Genomic DNA, 19,536 nt, shown 5'->3' with positions numbered 1-19,536 from the left:
GGCGTGAGCCACCATGCCCGTCCTCGCCAGTCTTTTTAAATTTTAGTCATTGTAATTTTAGCCATCGTAATGTCCATTTTAGCTCATCACACATCACCCAATTTGTGATGAGCAAATTTCGGTCAACTTCTCTAACCTGTATTTTTCTTACTTCTCACAAAAGGGGATATCTTGTTAATAATTGCTTTACAGATGAAATGAGAAAATTTGTATTAATTTATATGATACATAGCAGGTGTTCAACTAATATTAGCCCCACTTCTCTTGGTAGCATTTCTCAACCATACTACATATTTTCTCAACTATACTACACATTTTCACAACTAGGGATCTTTGAAAAATACAGCCCACACCATACAATACAGGGACTCTCACTAGATCAATTTTGTTAGAATCTCTGGGGATACGTGCCAGGCACTGCTGTGTGAGAAGGAAGCCTCCTCGGCCTCTGCATGGGGCCCAGCCTTCAGCAGCATCACTTTAAAGGACTGTGACTGTTTTTGACCTTGGTATTTACAGTTTGTATGTGTGTGAATGAGAGAAATGGCAGTGAGGCACACTCACTGCTGCAGTGACCTTTCCAGGCAGGCTGGCCACAGACAGACACGTCTGCAATTTCCGAGGAATCTGCGAGGTGGAAATGGGATTTGCAGTAATCAGGTCTCCGACACAACAGGCTGTGTCAGCAGGCATGCCTGCTGCAGGATGATGGAGATCACAGGCAATCAGCTGCAGCAGACAGGCGAGGCAGCTGCAGTCCACTTTGTCGCTTCTTAGGCTGGCTTTGTGTGGCTTAATGAGGCTTTCCCTGGCTTTCCTTTGCAGCCAGCTGGCAAGGCGGTGGGATCAGCCTCAGGGTGCTGCTCAGGCTCCCTTCTGAAGACCGCATTTATGCTCAGAGCCCATCAGCGATCGTCTAAGAATGATAGAAAGGGAGAATAAAGTCTACCCCTTCCCTTCAAAGCAGGAGACCCCACTAACTGGCAGCCGGATATGAATTGGCCTTCCTGTGGCTGCAATTTCTGGAGAGACTTTTTTGTTGTTGTTTAGGTGGATTTTTGCTTTGTCGTCCAGACTCGAGTGCAGTGATCTCAGCTCACTGCAACCTCCACCTCCAGGGTCAAGCAATTCTCCTGCCTTAGCCTCTGAAGTGTCTGGGATTACAGGCACTATCACCTCACCCAGCAAATTTTTATTTTTTCTAGAGATGGGTTTTCGCCATGTTGGCCAGGCTGATATCGAATTCCTGACCTCAGGTGATTTTCCTTTCTCAGCTTCCCAAAGTGCTGGGATTAGGGGCTTGAGCCACAGCGCCTGGCCTCTGAAAAGACCTTTAATATAATTCTGAATAGCTTCATGATTTTCCAGAAGGACAATGTACCCAGGATGGAGAATAACTTCTCCAGACTTGAGGTTGCAACGTCGTCATTTGTATACCTTCTTCCTACACCTGGCCTCCTGTGTAATAGATCCTGGGTACTTGTTATGTGAATAGAACTGAGTTGAAATCAGAATTTCTAGAAGATCTGGATATTTTATACTCAGGGCTCTAGCAGAGTCAGGTGTATTAGGGTGATGATATTGACCTTGGCTCTGTGGTGTGCTCCCTGCCTGCTTTCTCCTTCTGTATCTACAGCTCATGCCCAGCCCTTCTACTGCAATATCAGCTTCCAGGGGCTCCACCACAGTGCTCCAGATAAACCCTGCTGCCTATGAAATTGCTCTGTGCTACAACCTCTCCCTCTACCCAAACCCTCTTCAAAATTTGTCTGCCCTGAGTCTCATGGCTTCACATGCCCTGCCAAATAATAAAATAATCTGAGCAATAAGATATCAGCGCTTTCCTCCCATTGGATCCTTGGGCAAGACAGTGCATTTTCAGGCACCCAGAATGTGCATGGAGAACTTGCTTGGAGAATGACGGAGGGTGGAGCTTCACCATCTCCCTCCATTCCAATTAACTACTACTGCATCGCTAACCACTCCCATTTCAGTGGCCTAAAATAACAGTCTTTTGTTATGTTTACAGACTCGATGGGGCAGAGATTTGGAGAGAAACAGTGAAGATGGTTTGTCTCTACTCCATAATGTCTGGGACCACAGATGGGAGGTTTCAAATGGCTGAGGGTGACTCTGATGGCTGGGGCTGGGAAGATCTGGAGGATTCTACACTCACAAATCTGGGGCCTGATGTAGAATGACTCAGAGGTTGGCCTCTTCTCAGAAAGTCAACCAGAGCGCCCACACATGGCCTTTCCACGTGGCTTGGGTTTTTTTATGTATGGTGAGTATCCACACATGGCCTCTCCACATGGCCTGGGCTACCTTACAGCATGGTGAGCACCCACACATGGCCGCTCCATGTGGCCTGGGCTACCTTACAGCATGCTGGGCACCCACACATGGCCTCTCCACGTGGCCTGGGCTACCTTACAGCATGGTGAGCACCCACACATGGCCTCTCCACGTGGCTTGGGCTTCCTTACAGCATGGTGGGGCAGAAATTTGAACAGAAACAGTGAAGATGGTTTCTGACCAAATTTCCCCATGGGGCAGAAAATTTAGACAGAAACAGTGAAGATGGTTTGTCTCTGCTCTATCCTGTCTGGGACCACAGATGGGGTTTCACATGGTTGAGAGTGACTCCAGTGGCTGGGGCTGGAACAGTCTGGGGGATTCTATACTCACAAATCTGGTGTCTGTTATAGAATGACTCAGAGGTCGGCCCCCTCTCAGAATGTCTACCAGAGCACCTACATATGGCTCCTCTACATGGCTTGGGCTTCCTTACAGTATGGTGGACACCCCCACATGGCTTCTCCACATTGCTCGGGCTTCCTTACAGCATGGTGGGCACCTACACATGGCCTCTTCATGTGGCTTGGGCTTCCTGACGACATGGTGGGTACCAACATGTGTCCTCTCCACGTGGCTTGAACTTCCTTATGACATGACCCACACATGGCTTCTCCACATGGCTTGGGTTTCCTTATAGCATGGTGGACACCCACATGTGGCCTCTCTACATAGCTTGAGCTTCCTTATGGCATGAAGTAAGCTCAAGAAAACTGACCTCTTCACATGGCCATGTGTAAGCACCCACACATGACTTCTATGTGTGGCTTAAACTTCCTTATGACATGGTGGGCACCCACACATGGCCTCTTCACATGGCTTGGGCTTCCTTATAGCATGGTGGCCTCCTTGTGGTCAGATTCCTTATATGAAGCCTTAGAGTTCTAAGAGCTAGTCAGAAGCACTAAAAGACACAGAAGGTGACTTTCCCGTCTACTAGTATCCAAAGCAATTGAAAACCCTCCTAGATTCAAAATGTGAGGCATGTCCCCCACCTCTCAATAGGAGGAGTGCCCTCTAATTTGTACTTTAGAGCCTCTACTCCCTTAACTCATCCTTTTGGTGGGAGGCTGCCCAGCTGGAGAAGAGCAGCAGATTGAGAGACATCAGCCCAAAGCTCCTTGCAACACACACCCTGCTCCCCTCCCAGAGTCTCTCTGGAAACCCCCAGTGACAGCTCTCACAACCTATGCTGATGAATTCCAAGGGAGGCAGAAATGATTGTATTTCAATCCCACCATGAGAAATTTGGATTTGATTTTCTCCTTTTCAATGGGAAGGCAGAGAGGAGCCTCCTGCAGAGGGCAGCTTTAAGAATGCTGTTCTGGGGTGATCAGAAGGGTGATGATGAGCTGAGTTGAATGGCAAGGGGTCACCATGGGCAGGGAGACAAATGAGATGACCGTGTGCAGGCTGAGCACTAGGGCGGTATCTGTGTATACAGAGAGGAGAAAAGGGACATAATTTAGAGCCCAAAGAACAAGATAAAGGAGGGAGCAGAAATTTTCTAGAAAGAAAAGGACCCTCTAGCAGATCACGCAGCTCAACTCTGGGGGCAGGTTAATGAGTCTGTGTAGACAGCATTTCTCCTCCCTGCTGAAAGGCTGTGAATGACTGTGGCATCTCAGTCCCACAAAAATTACATCAAAAACAAGTTAGCTGTTCCAAGCCTCCCCTTGCTAATGAGACCCAAGTGTGAGGGTTCTTCACTCCTCCACCTTCATTGTCTAGGAAACTTATGAATTTTTAATCATATAGAAAGTACATTGTTTGTGATATGTTAGACCTTCAAAAGAAAGCATGAACATAAATTTTGAGATGAATAGCCGAGTGCTGGAAGCCTGCCTCTCTGCTTGACTTCAATAACTTATCTCAATGAATCCCCAGCAGAAAGCATCTTACATACTTCAGTTCTTGAGAAGATGAGATGTGAATGCTGGGGAATTATAAGACAGAGGGGCTTTACTGCAACAGTGAACAAGCTGAAAATTACAAGGTAATGGAATCTCAGTGGGAAGTCCTTGTACCCTGGCATTAGCTAACTCAGACAATGATTGCTGCAGAATCGACCAGGGTTATATAAATGCCGTGCAAGGTTTCTGCACTTTGCATCCTCATCTGGCTAAGCCCAGAGATAATCACATTTGAAGGCGGAGGGTACACCTGGCTGCCAGGAGCTTTGACTTTATAAGAAAAGTTTGCAGAATGACCTGCCTCAAGAATCCTTTATCCTATTTGAGATGATTTCTTTTTGGACTCTTGTAGGGCATTAGAGCTAAATAGTGTTTAGAAAAGGTGGAATGGCTGGGTCAGGCCTTGGAGGAGATACATATCTCTAGGGATTTCTGTGGACTCTGCCTCCTTTGTGGGATCATTGAACCACATGACAGTCTGAGCAGGGTCTCCAGTGAAGAGCGTCTCTCTTGTGGCTTTGGCATCAGTAGGAAATACACATGGCTTAATTAAGGGATATGCAACCGCAATAACACTAGAACAAGTTTGTATAGCGGGCACTGGGTTGGTGCTCTACATGCCTTTTTCTGACCTTTCCAACAGCCTCACCAGACAGGTGATCTTAGCCCCATTGGACAGAAGAAGAGAGAAAAGTGCATCATCTCAGTGCACGAGACATTTAGATTACATCATCCCATGAGACACTGTTTTCTACATTTAGTTTCTTTGAGGATAGTCTTTATGATTTTACCCTATCTATGTGTATGAGTCAGTGTTCTCCAGAGAAATAGAACAGCATACATATGTCAACCTATCTATCCATCTATCTGTCTATCTATCTACTATCTGTCTATCATTTATCTATCTATCTATCTACTACCTATCTATCTACTGTCTATCATCTATCTGTCTATCTACTACCTGTATATCTATCTATCTACTATCATCCATCTATCTATCATCTATCTACTATCTATCTATCATCTATCTATCTACTATCTATCTATCATCCATCTATCTACCTATTATCTATCTTCTATCTATCTATCTATCTATCTATCTATCTATCTACCTACCTACCTATCTATCTATAATAGATATCTATCTATAATAGGATTTGGCTCATAAAATCATAGAGCCCAGGAAGTCCCAGAGTCTGCTGTCTACAAGCTGGAGAAGTAGGGAAGTTGCTGGCATAATTCAATCTGAGTCCAAAGCCCAGAAAACCAGGAGCACTGAAGTCCGAGGGAAAAAGAAGATGGATATACCAGCCCAAACAGAGAAATGTGAATTCCTCCTTCCTCTGATTTTTTGTTCTATTTGAGGCCTCAAAGTCTTGAATGATGCCCACCTACATTGGTGAGGGTGGATCATTTTTACTCAGTCTATAGATTCAAATGCTAATCCCTTCTAAAAAATCCCTCATAGACACCCCCAGCAGAAGCACTTCCCAGCTATCTGGGCATCCAAGTTGACACATAAAAACGAGCTATTACACTCTGCACTATCAAATCACCCCTCAGTATCCATGAGGGATTGGTACCAAATCCGTGGATTTTGTAGATACCAAAATCCACTGATGCTCAACTTCCTTACATAAAATAGTGCAGTATTTGCATATAATCACGACATATCCCTCTGTATACTTTAAATAGCCCCCAGATTACTTATAATGCCCTAATACAGTGTAAATGTTATGCAGATAGTTGTTATACTATACTGTTTAGGGAATTATGACAAGAAAGTAAGTCTGAACATATTTAGAACAGACACAACAATCCATTTTTTTCTGAATATTTTCAATTCTTTGTTAGTTGAATTTACCAATACAAAACCCATGAATATGAAGGGCTGACGATATTTTTCTTTGTTATTTACCTTTTTAACTTTAAATCAATTTGCCCATCTTTCCTAGGCTTAGTGTAGTTAAACACAGCAAAGGGGTGAGGCGCAGCAGCCTTGGAGGAGTTGGGCACTGGACCAGGTCCCATTCTACTTGGGTGAAGCTGACTCAAGTAGGAAGCAGAGTTCATGAGAAAAAGCCCAGAATCACATTTGTGCGGCATCTGCAAATTTGAGATGAGACATGAAAAATACCGCAGACTTCCCTGAAAGACAAAGGATGGACAAGGCCTTGGCCTTGGGACTAGGGAAATTGATGGCAGTCTACAGAGAGGAGAGGGGAGTAATCAGACTTGATTGTCATTCTCGTTTATTTTTTGAGACAGAGTCTCACTGTGTTGCCCAGGCTGGAGTGCAGTGGAGCAATCTCGGCTCACTGCAACCTCCGCCTCCTGGGTTCAAGCCATTCTCCTGCCTCAGTCTCCCGAGTAGCTGGGACTACAGGTGCCCACCACCATGCCTGGATAAGTTTTGTATTTTTAGTAGAGACAGGATTTCACTGTGTTAGCTAGGATGGTCTCGATCTCCTGACCTGGTGATCCGCCCCCTTGGCCTCCCAAAGTGCTGGGATTACAGGCATTGATCGTCATTCTTAACTGTGATGTGTGATGTCAGTTCAGGTCCCTGGGAGGGCTTAAGTAGAGCAGAGTAGGGCACAATGTCTGGTGCTGGGAAGCCCCCTTGGTCAGCGTTTGGGGCACAGAATGAGGTTTAGATCCCATTTCTAGAATAGAAGCTGAGGCACGGGGTGAGGCTGGGTTATTCTACAAAAGCTCATTTGTTGGGGGCTTGAAAGCAGAACCTGACTCACATCCTAAAAGCCATGGTGCCTGCAGCCTCTCTGCTCCTTGGTCTTCCCTGATGCTAGAGAAGTAACTGCAGGTGGGCTGAATCTTCAGGGGAGTGTCTGAGCTCCCAGCAGGGAGAGAAAGACAGGAAGGCTGAGAACCAGGCCTGGCAGCCTCAGCTCCTGCAGAAGCAGTCTGTGCTTTGTGCTAAGAAAACAAAGTTTGCTTTCACCCCCCAGTAGAAAAAACATTCAGGCCAAGTGCCTGCACACAGGAGCCAACAGTGCTGCTAAACCCACCTCAGCTGAGCTTGAGCTCATCTTCCTGGGAGACTCTCAAGTGCATGTTAATGAGAAACATGTTCAGTTAGTGTTTATAAGCTCATGCAGATAAGGGCTGGGCTGCCATCCCAAGTCAGAGGTAAAAATGCAGCTGCGTATGGAAAATGGGACAAAGTGCTAAATCCAGAGCTATTTAAAAATGGAAGACAGGAAGAAAGGGAGGGTTAGGTTAGGGGCGGAAGGGTAGTGTCAGGAGTCAAGGATCCTCTCTGCAACTGGAGTCTTTGCCATCTGCCTTGTGTTCCTTTTTACTTTATTCTTAAAAACAATGTGATTAACTGATGCCCAAGGTATGCAATTCAATTCCGTTTCTCAACCATTTTCTAGGAGTCTGATACAGTTTGGCCCTGGGTCCCCACCCAAATCTCCTCTTGAATTGTAATCTGCATGTGTCAAGGGAGGGACCTGGTGGCAGGTGATTGGATCATGGTGGCGGTTTCCCCCATGCTGTTCTTGTGATAGTGAGTGAGTTCTCACAAGATCTGATGGTTTTATAAGTGTTTAGCAGTTCCTTCTTCTTCTCTCTCTCTCTTACCTGCCACCATGTAAGACGTGCCTGCTTCCCCTTCCACCATGATTGTAAGTTTCCTGAGGCCTCCCAGCCAGGAGGAACTGTGAATCAATTAAACCTCTTTTGTTTCTAAATTATCTAGTCTCAGGTATGTCTTTATAGCAGTGTGTAAACAGACTAATGCAAAGTCTATTGTGCATTAAAAAAGAGGGAAAGAACAAAGAAAACCCAAACAAGCAAACCTCCTAAATATCAACTACCCCAACTAGTTTTATCCTAAAGCCATGAACATACTTTCTGCTGTGTATTTATTTTCCTGAGTGCACTTGCTTACCAGGATGGAGTGCTCTGTGTTCAAATGTATGATATGAGTCAACTAGTGAGTGTGCCCCAGTCCCCACTTTAGAAAGGGAATAAATAACATTTATTGATCAATTTGCTCATCTTTCTCAGGCTTAGTGTAGTTAAATGCAGCAGAAGGGTGAGGTGCAACACGCTAGGAGGATCTGGGCACTTGACCAGGTCCCATCCCACTTGGGTGAAGCTGTCCCATGCAGGAAGTAGAGTTCATCAGAAACAAAGCCCAGAATCACATTTGTGCAGCATCTGCAAATTCAAGATGAAGCGTGAAAAAGTAGCAGACCTCCCTGAAGGATAAAGGATGGGCAAGGCCTTGGGACTAGGGAATTCCATGGGCAGTCTACAGAGAAGAGAGGGGAGTAAGCTGCATTCATTGGCATTCTAAACTGTGGCATGACGTCACAGTTATAATAAGAATGCCAACAAGTGCAGACTATTTCCTTCTTCTCGCCTATTGGGAGCTAGGAACTGTGATGACATTTGCTCTGTGCTATCTCATTTGATTATTGAATAAGACAGGTTAAGCTAAGTTGTGCTGCAGTAACAGGCAACTTGCAAAGCCCAGTGACTTTAACAATGCAAGTTTCTGTCTTGCTCACATTACATGTTTATTTCAGGTTAGCAGGTGACCTCTGTTTATTGCAAACCCCAGGTTAGTGGAACATTTTCCATCTCAAAGTCACCGGTGGCTCTATGATAGATAGATAGCTCTGGAGAGACCACGGTAGCAATAAAGTACCCTAACCTAAAGGTGACATAGTCTCAGTTCCATACACAACAGTCACATGATTCTATGCTTTAATTGTGGAGTAAATAATATTCAGAGGAAAGAGCCTAGTGAAATGACCAGGAGGACTAGATCTTGAATGGTGCTTGTCATTTGAGAAAGAACTATCACCAGGTGTGGTGGCTCATGCCTGTAATCCCAGCACTTAGGGAGGTCGAGGTGGGCAGATCACCTGAGGTCAAGAGTCTGAGACCAGCCTGGCCAACATGGTGAAACCCCATCTCTACCAAAATATAAAAAATTAGCTGGACGTGGTGGTGGGTGCCTCTAATCCCAGCTACTCAGGAGGCTGAGGCAGGGGAACTGCTTGAACCTGGGAGGTGGATATTGCAGTGAGCCGAGATTGAGCCATTGCTCTCCAGCCTGGGCAACGGAATGAGACTCCATCTCAAATAATAACAACAATAAATTTTAAAAAATAAAATAAAACAAAGAGAGCTATCTTTCCTGCTCCAAAGAGAGCCACAACACAACAATCCTACATTGTGGCAAGAAGGCAGAGAGTGAGAAATATTTAGTGAAAAACACCAGTCAATGGCTTTGCTAGTTTCTAAAATAAGATCTAGCTCATAGAGTCACTGTAGTATTCTCATTTCTCAGATGAGGTTTCTGAAGCTAGGAGAACTTGATTAATTTAATCAGAAATCAAAATCAGCTTTGCACCTTAACAAAATTCCATTCTGCTATGGCAGATAATGTCTTTTGCTTTTAGTATTTGTGAATCTGCTGCCCAGAAAAGGCTATCCTGTGGGTAAACTGATAAAATTGAATGTCTCAACTTAAAAGCTGCTCGCCGAACTTGCCTAAATGGTAGGTGCCATGGAAGATCTTGCCCTTGTGGTCATTTTGCTAGTCTCTTTCTCACAAAATGTTTTTTCTTGAGACGGAGTCTTGCTCTGTCACCCAGGCTGGAGTGCAGTGGCGCGATCTCGGCTCACCACAACCTCTGCCTCCTGGGTTCAAGCGATTCTCCTGCCTCAGCCTCTCGAGTAGCTGGGATTACAGTTGTGCACCATGACACCTGGCTATTTTTTGTATTTTTAGTAGAGACAGGATTTCGCCACATTGGCCAGGCTCGTCTCAAACTCTTGACTTCAGGCAATCTGCCCACAGTGGCCTCCCGAAGTTCTGGGATGACAGGCATGAGCCACTGCCCACAGCCTAGCAATTTTTTTTTTTTTTTTTTTTTTTTTTTTTTTTACTGCAAGGCTTAAATTAGGATGAGTTTTCCCAGATAGAATCCCAAAAAATGTTTCATTAGATACTGCAATGGTTCATTTTAGGTGTCAACTTGCCTGGATTAAGGGATATGCAGATAATGGGTAAGGCATTATTTCTAGGCATATCTTTGAGGGTGTTTCTGGAAGAGATTGGCCTTCAAATCAGTCGGCTGAGTAAAGAAGATCCACCTTCAACCTGGACAGATACCATCCAGTTGGCTGAGGTTCTGGATAAAACAGAACGGGAGAGGAAAGGGGAACTGACTTTTTCTCTTCTGGAGCTGAGCTGCCTTTCTACTCCTGCCCTTGGGCATCGGAACCCAAAATTCTCCAGCCTTTGGACTCAAGGACTTGCAACAGATACTCCCCCATCCCGAGTTCTCAGGCCTCTGATTCTGATGGCTTCAGATGTGGACTGAGCCTCAATACCAGTTTCCCTGGGTCTTGATCTTGCTGACAGTCTATCATGGAACTTCTCAGCCTCTCTAATTACATAAGCCAATTCCTCTAATAAATCCACTCTGATATATCTCTCTGTATATCCCATTGGTTCTGTCTCTCTGGGGAACCCCGACTAGTACAGATACTCAGAAGTGTCCCATCAAATACACTTTGCAATAATATATTTTGGAATGTGGCAGTGTTAAACAGATTTGTATCATTGTGGAAAGTTTTTAAAGGATTAAGTACATTGTATGCCTTGTGACTGTGCAGAAGGGAGACTCTAGCATACAATATATCCCAAAACCTATTTGCTTTACTTTTCTGGGGCATCTATTAACAATAACAACAACAACTAAAAACACTGGACCAAGGTGTTAGTGAGAGATAATGATACTTAGTGCATTTAAAAGGTAAAAACTAGGCCGGGCGTGGTGGCTCACGCCTGTAATCCCAGCACTTTGGGAGGCCGAGGTGGGTGGATCACGAGGTCAAGAGATCAAGACCATCCTGGCCAACATGGTGAAACCCCATCTCCACTAAAATACAAAAAATTAGCTGGTCGTGGTGGCGCATGCCTGTAGTCCCAGCTACTTGGGAGGCTGAGGCAGGGGAATCACCTGAACCCAGGAGGCAGAGATTGCAGTGAGCCAAGATCATGACATCATGCCACTGCACTCCAGCCTGAGCAACAGAGCAAGACTGCGTCTCAAAAAAAAAAAAAAAAAAAAAAAAAAAAAAAGAGGTAAAAAGCATAAATCCCATTCATGAAGTAGCTCTTGGTATAGGAAAATTCAGGGATAGTAGTGTCAATTACTGCACAAACTAAGCCTGTACTATACTCCAGATGCTATGTATAGAGAGGTTCAAATGTGTATGGTCTCTGCCTTCAAGGGTCACATAGTTTAAGCAAGTAATTATCAGTTACTGGCAAATATCATTTGCTAGGCATGGCGGGGAAGCATTTATTTTAAATCTTCACCCTAATCCAAAATGGTAGTCAGGTACTTCTCCTTGTATTCATTTTTCTTTTATTTTAAATTTTAAAAATATTTAGTTATTTATTTTGTAGAAACAAGGTCTTGCTTTGTTGCCCAGGCTAGTCTTGAACTCCTGGCTTCAAGCAACCCTCCTGCCTCAGCCTCTCAAAGTTCTGGGAGTACAGGCATGAGCCACCATGCCCAGCCCCTTATCTTCTTTTTTTTCTTTTCTTTTTTTTGACATGGAGTCTCTCTCTGTCACCCAAGCTAGAGTGCAGTGGTGTGATCTTGGCTCACTGCAACCTCTGCTTCCCGGGTTCAAGAGATTCTCCTGCCTCAGCCTCCTGAGTAGCTGGGACTACAGGCGTGCACCACCATACTCAGCTAATTTTTGTAGTTTTAGTCGAGACGGGGTTTCACCATGTTGGCCAGGATGGTCTCGATCTCCTGACCTTGTGATCTGCCCACCTCGGCTTCCCAAAGTGCTGGCATTACAGGTGTGAGCCACCGCGCCCAACCCTTATCTTTATTTTATAGATAGACAACTATGATTCAGATTAACTTACTTGGCCAAGATCATAATGCCAGTAAGAGACAGAGCCAGGATCCCCACCTAGGGTCTTTCACTTTGCTATTGGTGACTCTCTGCCAGGTCCAGGACTGGAATAGCGCTTAGGGAAAGATCATGGGCACAGCCTTGCAAAGCTCAGGGAAGTGACATTTTCACTCTTAAGTGGGACTCCCATAACCTTCTCTCAATGCACACTGTGCATGGGGCTCTGTGGTCCTTAACCTTGGCTGCATGTTAGAATAACCTGAGAAGTTAAAAAAAAAAATGCCTATTCCAGGTTGTGCCCCATCCCCATGAAAACAGAACCTCTCTGGCTGGGAGCCTGGCATCTGTATTTTTTTAAAGCTCCCTAGTGATTTCATTGTGCAGCCAAAATTGAGAAGTGACAGTGTGACACCTTCTTGGCCTGTGGAAGAAGCAGCATCGCTCTCAGCTCCTGCAGCTCTCAACCTCTCAGTTGGAAAGTGAGATCACACTGGAGATGTAACAATCAGCCTGTTCCAAGAGCAATTCGATTGTCTCTTTGGGGAGATTAAATACATCTCTTAAGTTTAAGGGATTCTAAATTTCTTTCCTTCCTTCCTTCCTTCCTTCCTTCCTTCCTTCCTTCCTTCCTTCCTTCCTTCCTTCCTTCCTTCCTTTCTTTCTTTCTTTCTTTCTTTCTTTCTTTCTTTCTTTCTTTCTTTCTTTCTCTTGATGGAGTTTCACTCTTGTTGCCCAGGTGCTGGAGTGCAATGGTGTGATCTCGACTCACCACAACGTCCACCTCCTGGGTTCAAGTGATTCTCCTACCTCAGCCTCCAGAGTAGCTGGGGTTGCAAGTATGTGCCACCACACCTGGCTAATTTTTTTGTATTTTTACTAGAGACGGGGTTTCTCCATGGTGGTCAGGCTGGTCTCGAACTCCCAACCTCAGGCGATCCGCTCGCCTTGGCCTCCCAAAGTGCTGGGATTACAGACGTGAGCCACCACACCCGGCTGGGATTCTAAATTTCTTAAAAAGAGCAAGAACCTTGGGTTCCAACTAAACAGGGTTCTTCCCTTACTGGCCATTCAAGGTTAGAAATGACTTTGCTTTTGTGGACCTTAGTTAGTTTGCTTGTTTTGGAAACAGGGTCCTCCTCTCTCTGTGCCCCAGGCTGGAGTGCAGTGGCACCACCATAGCTCACTGCAACTTCCACCTCCGGGGCTCAAGCGATCCTCCTACCTCAGCTTCCCAAGTAGCTGGGACCACAGGAACAGGCCACCATACCTGGCCAATTTTTAACAATTTTTTGTAGAGATGGGGTCTCACTATGTTGCCCAGGCTGGTCTCAAACTCCTGGACTGAAGTGGTCTGTCCACCTAGGCTTCCCAAAGTGTTGGAATTCAGGCATGAGCCACTGTACTTGGCAGTTTGTTTTTTAATTGCATCTGTTATGGCAGCCTCCACACAGGCTGGTACAAAGTAGTAGAGAGATGATGTACATAAATTTCTTGTAGCGTACTTGGCATACAGCATTGCTCAAACATGATAGTTCCTCTTCCTTCATTGTCCCCTCTTTCTATGTGAAAATTTAAAATTAATTAATATTCCTGATCATCTTGAGAATTTCAAGCCTTGGCTAAAATGGAGGCGGTGGTACTGCCATAAAATCCATCCACTGAGAGCTGGGAGGACAAAGAGTGATAGCTTTTGCAATTTTTCTATTAGCTCAGGCTACATTCTTCTTGTTATTGTCATTATGATGGCCTTTGTTTAACTTGAGAAATCTGAGTCAAATGCTCATTTAAATCAGTGAAGCTCAACGGAGACAAATATGCGTATGTAGCCTCCATTCTTAGATGCGCTAATTGCTTGCCCAACTCACTAAATTCTAATTAAAACCATTCCACCAGATGATTTTATTTTATTTCTTTCAACTTATAATTGAAGCATTTACTGGCCAACTATCCAAATGATATGCAGAGATTCTGCTTGGATGTTTGAAGAAGAAAATAGAAATGAAGGACCCTGAAGTAGTGACTTGGATATTTGTGGTTTAATTAGATCGACTTTGCATTAGTCCATTCTCATGCTGCTAATAAAGACATACCCAAGACTGGCTAATTTACAAAGCAAAGGGGTTTAATGGACTCAGTTCCACATGGCTGGGGAGGCCTCATGATCATGGCAGAAGATGAAGAAAGAGCAAAGGGACGTCTTACATGACAGCAGGCAAGAAGGCATGTGCAGGGGAACTCTCATTTATAAAACCATCAGATTTCATGAGACTTATTTGCTACCATGAGAACAGTATGGGGGAAACTGCCCACACGATTCAGTTTTCTCCACCTGACCCCACCCTTGACACATGGGGATTATTACAATTCAAGATGAGATTTGGGTGGGGACAGAGCTAAACCATATCAGACCCTTTGTTGACTGGAGATGATTTTAGGGAAGGGTTGACTCTGGGATACTCAGGTCAGTTAGACTCTGGGTTGGTTCAATAATGCATTTCTTCATGCATTTATTGACTACCAATACATGCCTGATAGCAGGATCATATGTGAATCTGGTCCTTACCAGTCCAGGAATTTGTAAATGGCAAATCAAGCCACAAGGGATGGCCTGGACTCTCAGAACTTTCTCCAAATGCCCTTCTTTGGTTTTCTCTTTGCTGTGCTCATCTTCCTGATTTGGGATGGTTCTGAATTTCTCATTGCGCTAGTAATGTACTTGATGACTGTAATTAAACGGGGTCCCTAGAGCTCTCATATTGCACTCACTCCTCACTGGCTGGCCTCATATTCTTCCCTGCTAGACATAAGCCAGTTTTTCCTGAGGGTAGAGATTGCACACATACCATATACTAGCTTTGAGTTTGATGTTACATGCATATGGATTTCTATCCTTAAAACAGAGATAGCCTTACAAACTCGTAAGAAAAATTATGAGGCCCAGTAGATAAACCAAGAACATTAACCATTAGCAAAAGATAAATATGGACCAGGTGTGGTGGTTCATGCCTGTAATTCCAGCACTTTGGGAGGCCAAGGCAGGAGGATCACTTGAGCCCAGGAGTTTAAGACCCTTATCTCTACAAAATACAGTTAGCCCGGCGTGGTGGCAGGTACCTGTAGTCCCAGCTACTTGGGAGGCTGAGATGGGAGGATCACTTGAGCCCAGGAGGCTGCAGTAAGCTATGATTACGCCACTGCACTCCAGCCTAGGTGACAGAGCAAAATCCTGTTTAAAAAAAAAATTGGCCAGATATTTTAAAAGTGCAGATCGAAACAAACATGAGGTAGTTTTTCACTCACCAAATCAGCAAAGGATAATCATAATCTATCATGTTGGTGAGCAGGCACACTCAAAGGTGTTGGTGACAATGGAAATGGGTATCAGTTCCTCCCACAACAAGCTCAGGGCCAAGGACAAGAGTACAACCCAGGGCCAAGGACAAGAGTACAACCCAAGGCCCTCATACCATATGTCTAAATATCTAAAAGTTCTAAAGAGGCCAGGTGTGGTGGCTCATGCTTATAATCCCAGCTCTTTGGGAGGACAAGACAGGAGGATGGCTTCAGGTCAGAAGTTTGAGACCAGCCTGGGCAACATAGCAAGATCCCATCTCTTTAAACAAAAAAGTTTTAAACAAAGCCAGCAAACGTAAATATTTTTAATCTTCCTACCTGGACAAATACATCTCCATAAAAACTTTGATTCCCAGGAATTCTCTGATAGAACTTGATGGTATGGAGAAAGAGAGCCCAGGCTCCAGGCTTCTGGTTCCTGGGCTGCTGCTCCTCTTCTGAACCCCAGATCCACTGCCACAATGAGGGGCTTTGTGAATGTGGTGTGGATACCCCAACTGCACAAGATCTTTTGAAGTGTCCACTAACTCCACCAACAGGCCTAGAGGGTGTATGCACATTGCAGTTGAGCTCTGTCCTTGAGAAGATGGCCCCGAAAAGAAATGAAGAAACTCTGGAAGCGGCCATACTACCCCAAGGCAGGCACTTCCTGGACCCCAGGCACTTGGACCATGACCTAGAAGGCCAGGGGTCATGGGGTCCCAGTGGGCTGTCATCTTGGCCCATAAGAAGTGTCATGGACCCAGGAAAGTCAGAGATGGGCCCAAAAAGTGTGAGAGTAGAGTGAAGACTCTTCTTACCAAGGTCAGTACTAATTGGTGTGATCCTTCTGGAAAACAATTTGGCAATGTGCCACAACAAATTTAAAATGTGAATATTCTTTGACTCTGACATTCGTTCCCTTACAAACTGGAAACACATATATATTCAGAAAACTGAATGAAAAATGAAATGATACATATAAAATATTATTTGGTAATGTTATTTGTCATATATCCCCTACCCACCTCCCCCTGCAAAAACACAGCTTAAATGTCTAACAAGAAGTCAAATACTAAATCATTTATGGTATTATCCAAATACAGTATATAATGTTCATTGTCAAAAATAAGAAGGAATTTAAAATATAATGTTAAGTGAAATATTTAAGTAGCATGTTTAATGACCAATAGAAGAAAACTAGAATGTGAAAATTTCCATATGTTGTAACTTAAAACTATAGAAAAATATTTAAATGTAGAGATGCCAGAATAGAATATTAACTGCTGATGATTAAGTGAGTGAAAATGAGGGAACGGGTTACAGTTAATATTTTTCTCTTTATGCTATCCTGTATTTTGAAAATTTAAAAATGTTCAGAATAACAGCTTGTTAATTTTACTCAGAAAAAAATTATACATTCTTGCAGATGTTTTGAAGTAGAGAATAAATGTACTATATAAGTTGTCATGGACCTAGTTTTTGGTTTGGAAGTGCGCTCATAGATACGTATTACATTGTTGAAAATAAATTAATTAATATAGAAACAAACAAAAAAGAAGGGAATGCTATAGCATGTAAGGATCAATGATCAGTGTGTCATGAGCTGAAATTATGATATCTAATTTTGTACAAGTGAGGTGTCAGTATAAAAATAGAATAAATCAGCTGGGCACGGTGGCTCAAGCCTGTAATCCCAGCACTTTGGGAGGCCAAGGCAACCAGATCACAAGGAGTTTGAGACCAGCCTGACCAACATGGTGAAACCCCATCTCTACTAAAAATACAAAAAAATTAGCCAGGTGTGGTAGTGGGCACCTGTAATCCCAGCTGCTCAGGAGGCTGAGGCAGGAGAATTGCTTGAAGCCGAGATTGCGCCACTGCACTCCAGCCTGGGTGACAGTGAGACTCCGTCTCAAAAAAAAAAAGAGTAAATCCACACTAAAGTTATTAAAATAAAGATATAAAGAGAATGTACGTCCAAAAAGGAAAGGAAAAAAGTTTTGCTGACTATAAAGGTAAATGAATTTGATGTGTGTGTGTGCATGTGTGTTTTCTGAGCTTACTGGCAGTATAGCAGTATAGCAAAGAAAGGAACCTGTCAACATTTCTTTCTATTTGCAATCAGCACCTAGACGGGTAAACCATTCGCCACATTGTGGCCTGAATCTGTTTCTTTCACATGCATTGTGTCTGTAGAGGGGCTTCTTTCCATCTTTGTATTGCTAATTTATGAGATTGGCACAGTCATGGCTGAGCACAACACGGCAAAACCCTGTCTTACTAAAAAAATACGAAAATTAACCAGGCGCGGTGCCATGCACCTGTAATCCCAGCTACTCAGGAGGCTGAGGCAGGAGAATCACTTGAACCTGCGAGGCAGAGGTTGCAGTGAGCCGAAATAGCACCACTGCACTCCAGTCTGGGCAACAGAGCAAGATTCCATCTCAAAATAAATAAATAAATAAATAAAAATTGGCTGGGCACGGTGGTTCATGCTTGTAATCTGAGCACTTTGAGAGGCTGAGATTTCACTCTTGTTGCTGAAGTTTCACTCTCGTTGCCCAGGCTGGAGTGCAGTGGCATGATCTTGGCTCACTGCAACCTCCGCCTTCTAGTTTCAAGCAATTCTCCTGCCTCAGCCTCCTGAGTAGCTGGGATTACAGGCACCCATCACCATGTCTGGCTAATTTTTGTATTTTTAGTAGAGATGGGGTTGCACCATGTTGGACAGGCTGGTCTCGAACTTCTGACCTCTTGATCCGTCCACCTCAGATTGACTTGTTTCTAAAAGAGATTTGAGATGTGATATTTTTCCTGGATTTCTGCCTTTGAGGCTTTTACAGCTATTATGGTCCAAGTGTGCAAACAGGATGGAACTGCACAGGGGATGGAGAATGAACCCAGAGACCCAGAGAGGATGGCCGGCAGAGTCTCTTCCATCCCTTGCAGTATCAGCAACTTCAGTTCATCCAAGGCCAACAGTAATTAGAGGGGTCCACCCTAGGGGAAAGCAGGATGGGAAGAGGAAGATCAGGGAGAGAAATACAAACGTCCAGGTTCTTGTCAGCAGCAGATCTCAGGAAGTGAGATGGCTGCCAGGATACAGCCCTTTAGGCAACATCATGTGGTCTGGCCCAGGGATATGGTTAGGGGAGGCTAAAATAACAATAGTCTTTGTAACAGTGATCACTTATCTATTGCTTGTCATGCACCATTCCAAGTGATTCACAGCTTTGCTAACTAGAGTATGGTCTGTAGACCTGCAGCACCAGCAGCAACTGGGAGCTCATCAGAAATGCAGACTCTCAGGCTTCACCCAGTCCTACCAAACTGGAAACTGCATTTTTCTTTGAGACAGAGTTGTACTCTGTTGACCAGGCTGGAGTGCAGTGGCATCATCATAGCTCATCGCAACCTCTGCCTCCTGGGCTCAAGTGATCCTCCTGCCTCAACCTTCCAAGTAGCTGGGACTACAGGAACCTGCCACGACACCTGGCTAATTTTTGTGGTTTTATTTATTGTAGAAATATGTTACCCAGGATGGTCTTGAACTCCTGGCCTCAAGTGATTCTTCTGCCTTGACCTCCTGAAGTGCTGGGATTACAGGTGTGAGCCACTGCACTGGGCAAGAAATAGCATTTTAACAAGATCCCAGGTAATTCATATGCACATACAACTATGAAAAACACTGTTTTACATGTATTAACTCTTAATTCTCAAAAAAACAAGTTGGGAGAGCTACTATTGCTATTCCTGTTTTATAGATGATGATGTTTAGGCACAGAGATATTAAGTGCAGGTCACATGACTGGTAAGGGTTGAACTAGGATTGAATCAAGGCAGTCTGTTGCAGAATTTGATCTTTTAAGCTACACTGTTCCTGAAAGAAATGGCTTTGATGTTACACAAAGCTGGGTATCAGGTCCTTCTTGCTGGCTTTGTGCCTCTGGATAGGTTACTTAATCTCTCACCTTCTGTTTCTCTATCAGTAAAATGGGTCAAGAAT

At 44.2% G+C, this 19,536-nt stretch overlaps 2 annotated features.

Moving 5' to 3' along the window:
- Positions 729–1,229: an enhancer, noted in NCBI's record as "H3K4me1 hESC enhancer chr7:67975966-67976466 (GRCh37/hg19 assembly coordinates)". NCBI's record gives its function as "activates a minimal SCP1, AML or CMV promoter by ChIP-STARR-seq in naive H9 embryonic stem cells {active_cell/tissue: H9 hESC(naive)}" and the evidence as "EXISTENCE:reporter gene assay evidence [ECO:0000049][PMID:30033119]".
- Positions 1,757–2,956: an enhancer, noted in NCBI's record as "P300/CBP strongly-dependent group 1 enhancer chr7:67974239-67975438 (GRCh37/hg19 assembly coordinates)". NCBI's record gives its function as "activates an origin of replication core promoter dependent on BRD2, BRD4, P300/CBP, MED14 and CDK7 cofactors, with strong dependence on P300/CBP, by STARR-seq in HCT116 cells {active_cell/tissue: HCT116}" and the evidence as "EXISTENCE:reporter gene assay evidence [ECO:0000049][PMID:35650434]".

This window comes from Homo sapiens, chromosome 7 (genome assembly GCF_000001405.40).
Source record: "Homo sapiens chromosome 7, GRCh38.p14 Primary Assembly".
Classification (NCBI taxonomy): domain Eukaryota; kingdom Metazoa; phylum Chordata; class Mammalia; order Primates; family Hominidae; genus Homo; species Homo sapiens.
This window is presented reverse-complemented; position numbering and strand designations above follow the sequence as displayed.